This window comes from Homo sapiens, chromosome 6, assembly GCF_000001405.40.
Source record: "Homo sapiens chromosome 6, GRCh38.p14 Primary Assembly".
Classification (NCBI taxonomy): Eukaryota; Metazoa; Chordata; class Mammalia; order Primates; family Hominidae; genus Homo; species Homo sapiens.
In genome coordinates this window covers 122712395-122727049 of record NC_000006.12, presented here as the reverse complement: position 1 = coordinate 122727049, position 14655 = coordinate 122712395, and the positions used below count along the sequence as shown (strand labels likewise).

Genomic DNA, 14655 nt, shown 5'->3' with positions numbered 1-14655 from the left:
ACTACTGAGTAGCAGAGCTAGAATTCAAACCCAGATAATCTGAATTTAAAATCCATATGCTTAACAGTTTAACTCTACTCCAGAGTGTCTCAACCTCAGCATTGTTGACACACATGACCGGGTAATCCTTGCTGTCAGGGCTGCCCTGTGGAATGGTAAGATGCTTAGCAGCTTAGCGGTATCCCCAGCCTCTGCCCACTACATTACAGTAGCACCTTTTCTCCCTTGCTTTCCACCTCCAGTTGTGGCAGCCAAAAAGTCTCCAGACATTGTCAAATGCCCTCTAGGGGGCAAAATTTCTTCCCCATCCATGCTGAAAACCACTGTTCCACTCTAACCCCTCTTTATCTGATTATAAAACCTCATGTCATTAAATAACTTTTAGAAATATAATTTTAATGGCTGTGATAAATGTTATTGAATATTAAATTAGTGCTACACTTAAAATATTACTTTTGATTATTTAATAAAGAAAAAATTATATTTGAAAACTTAAAGCAATCAGGTTCTTTGAGATCTACCCCTTTGGTGTATATAAGATATAAAGGTAAGCTCTGTCAATTAAATAATAAGCCAGAGGTGATTTATATTGCAAAGACTGTTAACTTCATTCTATAAAATGTGTCACCATTTTTTACTCAGCCTACTTCTGAAGATAAAATGAAGGAGACTTGTGTCAGTAAGAAATCTCTTTAATAGTGAAAGAGTTTATTTGGTTACTGTATACAGACATAGCCTAAGTCAACAATCAAATAAAACATAACTGCATGCATATATTTCTGAAAATGAAAATAAATTAATTACTGACATTTTTAAAACTTCAGAATTCTATTATTTTTCTAAAATATCTAATAAATCAAAATTTACTAACACTTTGGTTTTATTTTTGCTCCTTTTAAAATATATGCTTAGATATATATTTAAAGGATGTATTTTACTATTTCTACCAATATCATTGACTAAATGCTTAAGTGCCTACTGCTATGTTAGCTACTTTAAAAAAATATAAAAATTAAGGTCTGCATTGCTGAGGAAGTTATTTAAAAACAAGTCAGACATACACAAAAGCCCTAAGAATAAGAAAAGAGAGTGTAAAACAACTAGTATTTTGTATAATTCATATTAAAGTAAAACACACACACATACACAGACCAAAGTTAGGGAAGATAGTAAAATTCATTTAATAGGCATGTTCCATATAACCATTTTGTTACAAATTTTGCATTTTCCACATGAAAAAAATCACAGTAGGCACATACTAGAAGCAAAATATGTCAGACAAAAATATCCTAAAGATGTTTCTGTTATCAAACTTTTACAATTTTTCCAAGACGTTTTTGAGGTTTGGGAAAAAGTCTGGGGCATTTTTGGCAAAAAACAAACACACTCTATCCATGTGAGTTTTGACTATTGTTCTTTCTCACCAAAAATGTCCATAATTTTCTACAAATTCCATGAAGTTTTAAATCAATCATGTTTGATTTACATTTACCAAGAATGATTTGCCCATCACCATAAAAATTGAATTAAAAATACATCAGGCTAAATAAATCCAAAAGAGAACAGTGAATTTTGTTGGGTTTACAGACAGTGGTATGCATTTCTGTGATCATGTATTATTCTTAACCTTTTCCTTCAGTGCGATTTGGAAGTAACCTGCCTTTTAATAGCTTACCTTGGACATCATCATTGCAATCAAAGTGAGTAGCATCACAACACAATTATCTAATATACACATGCTGCTTAGGGCTGCAATGTTACCACAGTTACCACCAGATTAAATGTCTCAAGAAAACAGAACCACTAAGTCTTTCAACATGCAGAAATTCAGCACTCTTGATAGATTATGAGCCTTCATTTTTCTTCATTTTGAGGCTTTTCCAATTGGTCTTGTGTTGTTTTTTCATCTTTCTCTTTTGCATCTGAAAAAAAAATTTCCATTCATATGTGGAATATATTGAAATTTATTTTGTATTATGTTAGAATAAAACCATTGGTTTTTCCTTTGTCCACCGTCCATATTTTGCCCTCAATTCAGATATGGAAACTATACAAAGAAGAGCGATATGAGTAGGTTTGGGAATCTACCTTCTCCTGATCAACTTTCTCCTATTCTACAGAGTTATGAAGTGCCAGACAGTCTTCTAGGGTATTCTCAGAGCCTCCATTTACAGATTACTAAAATGAAACACAAGCAGGTAAAGTGACTTGTCCAAAGTCAGAGACTAGTGAGTGACAGTCACAACTTGAGCTTGGGCCAACTGACTCCGTGGTGTATGTCCTTAGCCAATTCCCTATGCAGGATTGCACTCTCCCCAGCTTCTTCACACTTTCTACTCCCTTTGCTCTTTCTTAGGAGACAACCTCACTTTCTACTTCATAGGAAAAAAAAATAATCAAAGTTATCAGACAGGAGTTCCCTCAACTTCCTGCCATTAAATATCTAAAACTCCCCGTGATCTGTGCTTATTCTTTCTGCCTTCCCTCTTTTTACAATGGAAGATGCACTTGTGAGCACTGGCTATGTAATTTGTTGGTGCCCAGTGCAAAATGAAAATGCAGTACGCTTGTTCAAAAATAATGAAAAATTTCAAGACAGCAAGAATAGAACATTAAACCAAATGCAAGTCTCTTCTAATCAAGGAGCCCTATGCAACCACCCTGGTTGCACAATTTTGGAGCTGGCTCCTGGTGTTACTCCTGCTATGCAGTCTAATACCTTCATGATCCCCCATCCTATCCATTTTTGCTTCATCAAGAGGCTGACTCTAATAATCATCTGCGCTCTTCATTTTACCTGACTTTCCCTTTCTCCTGGCTCCTTCGTTCCCACAAGTCACTACTGTCTTTAAACTAACAAAGACCCTCTTTCAACTGTAAGTCTTCCACATACTATCTTCTCTTTCATCCTTTAAAAGGTATCCCTCTTTTGTTGTCTCCGTTTTTAAGTGAAACTATTTAGGTCTACTACTCCTGCAAAACTGCTCCTACCAAGTCATCAATGGTATCTTTGAAATCTGATGGACTCTATTCAGTTCTTCAACTCTCATTCATCAAATATTTATTAAGCATGTACTACGTACAAGGCAATGAACAAAACATGAATCCCGGCTCTCAAGGAAAATCTGATGAGAAATATGGACAATAAACAAAATAAATGAAATGTGTGGTCAATAAGAAGTAAAAAGGGCTAATGAAGACATTAAAACAGGAGTGGAAAATAGAAATTTTCAAGAAGTCTTGTGGCCTGAAGGATGCAATTCTAGACAGAGTTAGCTGGGAATGCCTCACTGAGAAGGGGACATTTGAGTAAAGGCCTGAAAAGGTGAAGAAGAATTCTATATAGATAGTGGGGAGAAGAGCATTCCAAGCACAGAGAAAAACAAAGCCAAAGACAATAATATGCAGGAAGGATTTGCAAGCGGGACAGTGGTAGAGAAAATTGGAATAGAAAATGGAGTCATAGAGGTACCAAAAAAACTAGATCCTGTGAGTGAAAAATGGCAGATTTATGGACCAATTTTGAAAGTAGAGCTGACAGTATTCACTGATAGATGGGATGGAGAATACGAGAAAAAGAGGGGAGAAAAGGATGATTCCAATATTTTTGGCAATAATTTTGTTAACTGGAAGTATGAATTGCCACTCAGAGATGGGAAAATGCAGAAAGAGCTGTTGTCAGGAGACTATCTGGAGTTCGCTTTTATACCCATTAAGTTTGAGATTCCCATTAGATATCCAAGCGGAGACGCCAATTAGGCAATTAGTATATGAGTGTGCAGTTCAGGAGAGCTCCAGGTTGGAGACAAAAATTTGTAAGTCATCAAAAGCACAATCATTATCCCAACGAAATCAGATTACATCACAAGTGAGGGAGTGTTGATAGAGATGATGTCCAAAGACTGAATTCTGATAACCTCCAATTTATTTAGAGTTAGGGGAGATGAGGAAAGAAAAGCTGAAGGAGGAGCAGCCAGGGAAGCAGGAAGAAAACCAGATGAGTGGAGTGTCCGGAAAGCCAAGGGAAGAGAAACGTTACAGGAAAGAGTGACAATCATCTGTGACTAAGAGATCGTGCAAGAGGATGGCTAAGAATGAACCACTGGTGTTAGCAGAAATGATGTCATTTGTGATCTTGAAATAGCAGTGGGGTGATGTGGTGAGGTGAAAATCTTATTAGGGTGAGAGAAAGAATGGTACGCAGAAGATTTGGAGCCACAGAAGCAGATAACTCTGTCAAGGAGTTTTGTTACAAAACAGAAATGGAGAACTAGGACAGTAGCTGGAGGAGAATTGGGATCAAGGGAGAATTTGCACCCTAACAATCATAATTGGTTGCCTTCTAATTAACATGGCAGGTGCTTAATAAGTGTTTATTGAAAGAAATCCCTTAGAAAAATAAGCTTGGTAGAAAATGGTACTCTATAACCATATGAAATACAAAACACTAAATTATTTGCACAGTAATTGAAGCTGCACTTGCCACCACTGATTCTAAGCAAGCTACACACAAAGCTTTATAGCTTTCAGAGAAGAGTTGTTATATCTGCTATCTCTAAGTTGGTCTAATGAGCAGAAGATGATATGAAGTCCCCTTAAGTTGTTATCTTTCTGTGAAATGAACTAGGAACTCAAGATAATAATTAGATGAAAACTAACAGGATATCATTTATTGTCAATCTAGTATCTTGCTCAGGATTATTAACTAAAATATAAAACATGATTCCAAATACCTCTTATAGTCTCATTTTTTGCTTTGTAATGTGAAAGTGTTTAGAAATACATTCAAAGATGATTGCAGATAAAAAGAAACAATAATCTGCTCAAGAGGTTATGATTGCTGTCAACTTTGTATTGTGATGTTAATGAAAGGAAAACATTTTGTATTGTGATGTTAATGAAAGGAAAATGATTTTTCATATATTATGTGCTTCCTAGTTAACATTGCTGTTATTCTTCAACCTTCTGCATATGTCAAGTGCTTTCAATGTAATCGAATATATTTTCAATATATTCTTCCAACATAATTTCTCTGAGAGTGCAACATCAAACTTCCCTTTCAAGCCTGTTACTGTCATTTCAAATGTGAATAAGCTATTTTGAACTGTTACTTATCTCACTTTTTTGATCATAATAAGAACTCTTGGGAAAGCAAGAAAATGTTGAGTTCTAGATTATCTGGCTTGGTTCTTCTGTTCTCTAGAAGCCTAGCTTGGAAAAACATTTCTCATATATATATATATATATGTAGTAACATGTTACTTTATATAAATATTATGTTGAGATCCTTATTATATATCTTTTAGGTAACATACCACTTTAACTGTTTACTAAATTAGGCTTTTCATTAATATACGTTTAATATAAATCAGATATAATAGTCTATTTTTTTACATTTCCTATTTCCATCCTTGTGTTCTGCTCTTCTTTGTATCAACTGCCTTTTCTACTCCTTGTCACATTTTTAGAGTGCCTCCCAGAACAATAATTCTGCAAGATGCTTCTTCAGAGATGGCCAAATAAATGAGAGAAAAAAATGTTGTATGTTCTATTTTTAGAAGGGTGTAGACACACTATTACTTTAAAGTCTCTGTAACAAAGGCTCTGAGAAGTCCTTGTCTAAAAAGGAAACATTCCGAGAAGTGTAAAAAGCCAATTATGTTGAAACCAGCAATTCCAAACTCATTTGACTACAGCACCCTTTTTTTCTGGGTGACACATTAACACCCAAAATAATTTCTATGAAACATTTATAGAGAAAAATTGGTATAATGGGAAAGATGAAGGCTTTGGAACCAGACATTCTATTATCACTTAATTTTTGTGAGCTTGGGCAAGTCACTTAACCTGTTTGGGGTTAGTTATGGTAACATCTATATATCAAAAGAGTGGAGGACTTCTAAGGCTCCGTCTTTCCTTCTCATATTCTGTGGTTCCATTTGTACTGAAAAGGTAATCTACTCATGTGGCTTGTCAGGTATGGGATAATTTCATTTGCACTGTTTTCTCCTCAATCATATAAAATATGTTTTGAAAATATACACTCAAGGCCAGGCGCAGTGGCTCATGCCTGTAACCCCAGCACTTTGGGAGGCCAAGGCAGGCGGATCACCTGAAGTCAGGAGTTTGAGACCAGCCTGCCCAACGTGGTGAAACCCCGTTTCTACTAAAAATACAAATATTAGCAGCGTGTGGTGGTGGGCACCTGTAATCCCAGCTACTCAGGAGGCTGAGACAGGAGAATCGCTTGAAACCGGGAGGCAGAGGTTGAAGCGAACCAAGATGACGCCATTGCACTCCATCCTGGGAGACAAGAGTGAAACTCCGTCTCAAAAAAAAAAAATACACTCAAATATTCAAAAATGTATATCTCAGAAACTTTTTCCGTCTGATCCACCAGACCTATATATCAAATCGCTTCATTGACTTGTCCATTTAGATGTCTCGTAGGCATCCTGAAGACAAAAATTTTCACTCCTCCAACTCTTAAAATTGCCCATCCTCTAGGCTAACCCTTCTCGGTGTATGGCATCAGCACCTGCCTGACTGCTCTAGGAGTTATCCTCCAATTCTCTTCCTCATCTCTGCCACATCCAATTCATCAGCAAGTCCTATTGATTCTGCCTATAAAACATATCCCAAATCCACTGATCTTTCTCCATCCCAGGATGCCACCCTCTGTCACCTCCTGTTCATATGTCATCAAATATCATTGACCTTTTTATCATGGTTATCAATTTATAAGGGATAGATTAAGACAGATTATGAACTGGGCAAATCTCAGGTTAATTTCATGCAGCATGCAAAACACTTGAAATCCTAGATTTCCTGCCACTTAGGCATATTTATTAAAAAAATTAAAAATAAAAACAAAGGATAGATCTGAGGGAAATCTGCAGATCTTCCTCACCTCAAAATTTGTATGTTTAAGTGAATAAATTATTGAAACCATAACATCTGAGACAGACTCCCGCTTTCAGTTTTCATTAGCAACTGGAAACCATTCATTTTAAAATTCATAATAACATCTATGCTTAGCTAATGAGAAAAAAATAAGCCTTCAAACTGCTTACTTGTGACTTTGTTAATAAAATATTATCTATGTCATCTACCTATGTAAGCCTATATCCTTCTGTGTATTTTTTCTACTCTTTAATTTTTCATTGACAAATAAAAATTATATATATTTATGTTGTTGTGCAACATGATGTTTTGATACATGCATACATTGTGGAGTGGCTAAATCAAGCTAATTAACATATCCATTACCTCACATACTTTGTGTGTGTGTGTGTGTGTGTGTGTGTGTGTGTGTGTGTGTGTGTGTGTGTGTATGTGTGGTGGGAACACTCACAATCTACTCACTTGGCAATCTTCAAGTATACAATACATTGTTATTAACTATAGTCATCATGTTGCTACAATAGATCCCCTGAACTTACTTCTCCTGTCTAATTGTAATTTTATCTCTTTTGACCATCATTTTCCTAATTTTCCTGGTAGCTACCATTCTACTCTCTGATTCTAGCAGTTTGTCTCTTTCAGATTCCATGAATAAGATCATGTGGTATTTACCTTTCTGTGCCTGGCATATTTCACTTTACAACTTGCCTTCACCCTTTTGTGTAATCTTTAGCATCTGGTGTTATTTGTAAATTCATCTTTAACATTTTCAGTTTCTTAATTGATGCCTTTGACTTTATTTCAAAATGATATGAAGAAAAATATAAAAACAGGAACATATTCTTTCAGATCCTAGTCTCTCTAGTGACCAAAATAAAATGGAGAACACTGCTGACTCTCCCACAGTGTATTTGCTCTCTTTTGCTTGATTAAGTAATGTCAGTAAACATTAAGGTTTTGTGTGTGTTGAAGGTGTATAAAATTTAATTACGGTTTTTACACGAACAAGTAATTGCCTTCTCTACCTCACTAGTTTAGAATGGACTCTTGAACAGCAACGACATCTTCCTATGGTCATATTACATTTTCAAACTTAAAAGGCCAAAAACATTACATATATGTTTATTTCTTTCTTCCCTTATCTTTTCCTTCTTTTCATTCTTCTTATAATATTTTACGTTGATGTGTATGCTTTTTTACTCTCACCTATAGTGTTGCATATGAGAAATAGTGGCCTTTGGAAAAAGATGAGGTAATCATGGAACTGCAGGATCTGGTCACAGCTCCTGGCCTACAAGGATATAACTATTTCATAGAGAATGAACCAGGAACATTTGCAACTTTACCAGGTAGTAAATAACCTCCTGAAGCAAAGAACCAAGAGCCTTCTTCTTGGGCTCCCGGGAATGGGTTAGATGCAAGCGGCTTCTGGTTCTCACTTGCTTCATTGTCACCAAGAATAAATTCCCAAACATACACTAGAGTCCACCTGAGAGTCTAAAATGGGGCACAAAACGTGAGTATTTTGCTAATGGCTTGGAACTAAAATGATCTTTAATCTCTCTGAGTGTATTTTTTAACTTTGATTCAGGGTTTTGTTTTGTTTTTTTAAATCTCCATGAGGGTTTTTAAATGAAAGGCACCTTTTAACACTTTATTTAAAGTATCCTTATACTTTCATATAAAGTATCACCTTTTATACAAAAATTCTGTTGAAAGAATCTCATCTCTACTTGATAGTAAACTTCTTCCTAGATTTGAAAATTAAAGGGCTTGTAGCACACTACAGTGAAGCAGAAGCTTCCAAAGTGATTTGTCAATGGATGGCAGAAGAAAAATTATTTTATTTATGAATACTTCTTAATAAACTTGAAAGCTCATTGAGAGAAAGATCATATTTGTTCACCTTTGTATTCCCAATTACTAGCTTTGTGCATGACTATACACATGCAATGAATAAATAAAACTTCAGTTTCCACATACACAGCATAAGAAAAAAGATGAAATATTCTACTTTGGAAAAGGCTGAACATCTACTAAGCCTTAAACAAAAGCTGAGAGGTTTAAGTAAACAAATAAGGAAACTGAGCACTTTTAACTAGATAAAAGAAAGACTGTCCAGAGAAAAGGCTTGGTTAAGAAGGGACAAGTGCTGTTAATTGTAAGAGGATTTTGAGTATTACCTTCCTTCACGGAGAGAGCCTCCAGTTTGAGGGGCAAATCTGAGGTTCCGTCTGTGGCAGCTGAACTCTGGATGTCTGGTAAGGCATTCCGGCGGCCTGCCCTTGCTGAAGATGCAAAATTGGCGACCCCAGACTCCACGTCAGTCATTTTTGATGAATCTGTCCTCATAGCAACATCTACAAATAGAATGTGCATATGAAGAAGATGAGCCTATTCAGAAGTAAATGTTCACCACAGTGGTTGAAAGGCATGGCTAGATCAAAAACACAACAGGCTTGAGAGTCTAATCATTGATCACAACCTTCATCAATGTCTACTGTTACGGTCCTGCAGCATCCATTTGCACATTTGCTGAATAGAGCAGGAAGCCCTCAGTGTGAGCCAGATTGCTAAAAATAACCCCTGAGCCGAATGAGCCACTTGGATGCTTAAGGGTGCAGTAATCCCTTGCCTTTTGTTCTGCTTTTCTGTGGATGGATCAGCCAAACTAGGGCTTGGAAGGAAATGAAAACTGACTTTTTTGACCACTCCTGTAGAGACTCTTTCTGCCAGTATTTGCTTGTGGTGATTGTTCAGGCTGAAACCAAATAACTATAATTTGTAGAGACCAAACAAAACACTCTTTTCCTACTTCTTAGAAATAAGAAATTCCACTTTATCTCAAAAGCTTTTTCCCTAGAGAGCACTAAATATTTTGATCTGTTCTGGTCTGAGACCTAATTTTCGATAGACTCATGGTAATGGTTGAAGAGTAGGACCTATTTTAGGTTTTTTTACCTTCAGGTTGACATGGTAATTACTAGTTCTTTCCTAAGCACCCTTTATCTCCCTAGCAATTGTCTCTCTCTAAGAAAGAATTCTCAAGAGATCATTCACTATAAAGGGAGGAAGGTAACAGTTATTGCTTACTCTAAAACTGACCTTTTTATTATGTTTTGGAATGAATCTCTCCTGAGAAGTCAACTCTGAATAGCATCTCGAAAGCAGAAGCATTGTATTGAAAAGCTATGTAATGCTAGCCTCTCAGCTAGGCCTGAGAGTACAGACGTATGGTATACTTTCCATCTTTAGGGAACTTGCACTCTCAAAAGGGAGAGAAAATATATGCCTGCAGAGATAGACACCCTAACACAGAATGCACTAAGTATTGACCGAAGGATGGAGATGCTCATTTGTGATACCTAAAAAGGGCAGAAATATGTAAACCTTGGGCTACACAGAACAAATCCAACTTTTCATGGTAGTTGGAGGGAGTAACTTCAATTCAGGAAATGCTAAACACTAAATGGCATAGTCACAAAACATGGTGCATTTGACATTAGAAACAATATTTTTGGTTCATAGAATGCAAGAAATGCAAATTGAGCTTAGCATGGTCCTTAGGAGTCCAGGAATAGTTTGGAATTGCCCAAAAAAGAGTCATTCTATTAATTCCATAGATATTATTGTCTTTCCAGGAATCATGGGAAATTTGAGAACAGAGCTATGTTTTGAGATACAATTTTGGAATCCATTAGACTTTTAACTGCTTGGTATTTGGCAACTGTGGAGAATGTATAGATATCTTAGAGTACTGTAAAGAGCACTAGACTATTGGTCAAAAAGAATGTGCTCCATTATAGACTTGGAAGGTGATATTGTTCAATCCATTTAATTTCTCTGAGTCACAGTTCCTCCCCTATATAACGGGCATAGCAATTAGCCTATGGATTCACAGGATGCTGGTGAAGCAATAATGAGATAAAGAATAAATGAACTCTTTGTAACTATAAGGTATATGTCTGATTGTTGGCATCATTGTTCATATCTCACTAAATGTTCTTTATTCTACCACCTTCTTGTGTATCCCATTTAATCCTAACAAAAAGTATTTTCCTATTGGGAAGACCTCTTGCATTTTCCAAGAGGAAAACCAGCATTTTTATTCAATACTACATGAACATTTTTATATTACATTAGTTAAACCTCCCAATAATCCCATGAGGTACTGAAGTATGACCCTTGCTTTGTGGATGTGGAAACTGGGGGGTCAGAGAGGTTAAGCGACTCATTTAAAGTTGCACAGCTGCTAAGTCAGCACTCAGGCATGCAAATCAATTTCAGTTCACTCTGAAAGCAACACGAAATGGATTATCACAAAATTATCTCTTCAAATCCCCATAATGCACATAGTTAGCCATCTAAAGCTACTTTAGATTCTGCCTTTATTATTTTTATATAGAGAAAACAGGGGGAAAAATATGTGTATATACATATATATATCTAAAAGTTTGTTAAAGTTCATATATATGTGTATGTATATATATATATATACATAAAATACCTGAGTGATGAAATAATCTCTCTCTCTCTTCATATATATATATACAACTGATGCACATAATTGGTTCCCTGTCTTTTCACAGTGTTCTTCTCTAGTTTGAATGTTTGGTTATCTTGTGAGCCCTCCCATGGTACATTAATTTCAGTTAGATCTCTTCTCAACAGCTTGTAAGAAGTGGCTAGTTTGGAAGTAGACCCCATTTTCTGGCCTCCACTCTGTCCTCCACCAATTCACTTCACATCAGAAACCACTATGGCTGCAAGTATCTCTTCCTGTGTAACTGCAAAGAAGTTAACTCTGCTGGTCTTAAAGGAACAGCTCCATGAATAAATGAATTCTTACTTGCCTGATAGTCTAAAACCTTACAATTAAATGTAATAATAGTTTTTAAAATGTTAAGATATGCGATCTTAAATATTTAAATAAATGCTATATATTTTATATAAAATAAAATAGGTAAACTTCTTCAGCAAGATGGGACATTTTAAATGAATATTGAGTTGAAATTTGTATGTTGAAAGAGAAATTCCTTTTTTTTTAAATATTTTTTTTTTTGGCTCAGCGTGGTGGCTCATGCCTGTAATCCCAGCACTTTGGGAGGCCAAGGTGAGCAGATCATGAGGCCAGAAGTTTGAGACCAGCCTGGCCAAGATGGTGAAACCCTGTCTCTACTAAAAAATAAAAAAAAATAGTCAGGTATGGTGGCTCACACCTGTGATCCCAGCTACTCAGGAGGCTAAGGCAGGAGAATCAATCGTTTGAACCCAGAGGCAGAGGCTGCAGTGAGCCGAGACTGCGCCACTGCACTCCAGCCTGGGTGATAGAGCAAGACGTGAAAGTTTGTTACGTAGGTAAACTTGTGTCATGGGGATTTGTTGTACAGATTATTTCATCACCCAGATATTAAGCCCAATACCCAATAGTTATCTTTTCTGCAGCTCTCCCACCTCCCACCCTCCACCCTCAAGTGAACCCCAATGTCTGTTGTTAAAAAAGAACTTCTAAAAAGTGGCCCTTGGAGTGGGCCGTCAGCATGGAAAAAGAAATTCTGGGTTTCACGTTTATTTCAAGATTATTTTGCTGCTAGCTGACTGCTATTTTGGAAGTTTTTCCTTTTGCCTTTATATTATTATTTCACATAGAGGCTTTCTAATTAGTCCTTTTTGTAGATCGATGCTGGAAAATAAAAGAATCACAAAACTATCTAAAAGTTTGTTAAAATTATATTCATTAACTACTATTTTAAGATCGAAAACAGAAGTGGCCATATAGGGAGGCTAAGTAACAAAACTGTTTTACTTCGGGGCTGTACTTGGCTGTGGCAAACTCACATTTGGCACAATCTTCCTTTCAGTCTGCCACTGATATTGACTGACCAAGATGTCATGCTTCACCAGAGGCAGACCGAATAGCTAACCCCGCCCAGCCTCACAGCGATGTAGGAAGATGGCACTTTCTACAGAGAAAAGCTATTTTCCTGACCAAATGTGTCAATGGCCTAGAAATTGGTGGCAGGAATATTTGAATCCACAAGGTGACTCTTAGCTGGGCTCTTTAAACTCCAAAGCAAAGAGATTTATTGTACCACTGGAGACAACCTGAAAGCCCAACAAGAAAAAAAGTATCTGAATAAGCTATGTAATTATGTTATGGAATGTTATACCACAGTGTTAAAGAATGTATTAGATCCACTGACACACTGTGAAATAAAGCAAGTTTAAAAATTAATATTTATAGGGGGAAAAGGGGAGAGCATTATGAATGCAATGTAACCTCAACTTTATACAAATAATAAAAATTCTAGTTGGGAACGGAAGGTAGAACAAGGAAAATATTAACCTTTTTCTCTACCTCTTTACATATTTTCACTTTTACTAATGAGCATATATATTACCTTTGTAATTTAAAAGAATTGAAAAATCCACCTGGAAAAATTATAAATAAACAGATATTCTAGCACAGAAAGGCTCTAAAAGTAACATTTTGAAAATTTAACCAAATGATAGCATATCGTTAAGTGAAAGCTTCTCCTTCCCCCAGTAGCCATCTCTCATTTGTCTGTTGTTAGTTTTCTATACAACACCGATTGCACATGCTTGGTTTTTTTAAAAGGGGCGATATACATATAGAAAACAGACAATTGCTCTCTTCAAATGGCTTGTGATAATTATAATATATAGCCCACAGAAAGATGAGGAAATACTGCAGAGAAAAATGACAGATTAACTTGAGGGTCTTTTCATTTTCTGGGCTTAAATAGCTAATTATGTTATGTTTGCCAACCAAGGCAGCTGACTCACTAGCAACTCTTCCTCTTTCTCTTCTAGAGAATTAACAAAGGACTCTAGATGAGTGCTGCTTTGTCAACTGTGGCTGCTTACAGGAGCTGGAACCATTTAGACATTTGGAGATTTCACAAAAGTCCTTGCAATCCCACAGCAAGGTAACGCAATTTACGTTGCCTGAGACACACTTCTATCTCTATTGAAAATATACAATTTTCAGGCTGCTTGAGAAAAGACTATTACACAGTCATATATATATTTATATATGTATATACACACATGCCAGCATCTTTACAGTCTCTGAAATATTGAGAATGCAACATCAGCACTACTCAAGAGGACGAGATGTTCAAGATAAATGGAGCACTAAAGGCTATTAAAAAATCACCAGTCAGAACCCAGTGGGCCCCGAAGAGCCTGCTAAGAAAAAGAGGATGTTAGTATGTTAGAAGCATAATTATAAACAAACAGAAGTTTTGCAAACTGTTTCCTCCCCACAACAGGTCCATTTTCTTAATTCAAACACATTATTTTCTCAAGCTTCCTTACTTGAAGCCAAGATTGCAAAATGGTAGATCCATTCTTTTCTCATCTCCAGATACATATCACTCACCCTATCTTCCACAGTGAAACCATTGCTCATTTTATACCTAAGACTTCAAATAAACTTCTTGCCCGCTAAATTAGTTCCCTGGAGGTATGAGTCAGACTTTCTGAAAAAACACAAAATAACAAAGAAGTAAAAACATGCATTTTGGAAAAAATGTCAGTGCTTTTCCTGACCAAAGACTAAGAGAGAAGGAGAGACTGACAAATGGACAGACTGACACTGGTCTCCCCTGATAACCAAATGCCTTATCTACCTCTCTCCAGCTCTCAGTATCCTAATCCCTTATGCTACATGTTTTCAGTTCTCTGCCTACGAATTATTTATTTCATATAATTTTCTGTTTTGAAACA

The 14655-nt window shown here is 36.2% G+C and overlaps 1 protein-coding gene across 15 annotated transcripts in view; it reads right to left on the bottom strand.

Annotated features, from left to right (window-relative positions):
* Positions 1–676: 676 nt before the first annotated feature.
* The window catches only part of PKIB (cAMP-dependent protein kinase inhibitor beta), a 254453-nt gene continuing 240474 nt past the window's right edge, over positions 677–14655 (bottom strand). For 14 of the 15 annotated variants that reach the window (NM_001270393.2, XM_047419002.1, NM_001270394.2 and 11 more), the window contains 2 exons: positions 9087–9263; positions 677–1922 (listed from right to left, as the gene is read on the bottom strand). In NM_001270393.2, coding sequence (NP_001257322.1) covers positions 1855–1922; positions 9087–9255 — 237 coding nt within the window. In that variant the 5' untranslated portion in view covers positions 9256–9263 and the 3' untranslated portion in view covers positions 677–1854. Of the gene's footprint in view, positions 1923–9086; positions 9264–9388; positions 9439–14655 lie in introns of those variants that run through there. The other variant, XM_011535937.3, reaches the window with a different exon arrangement.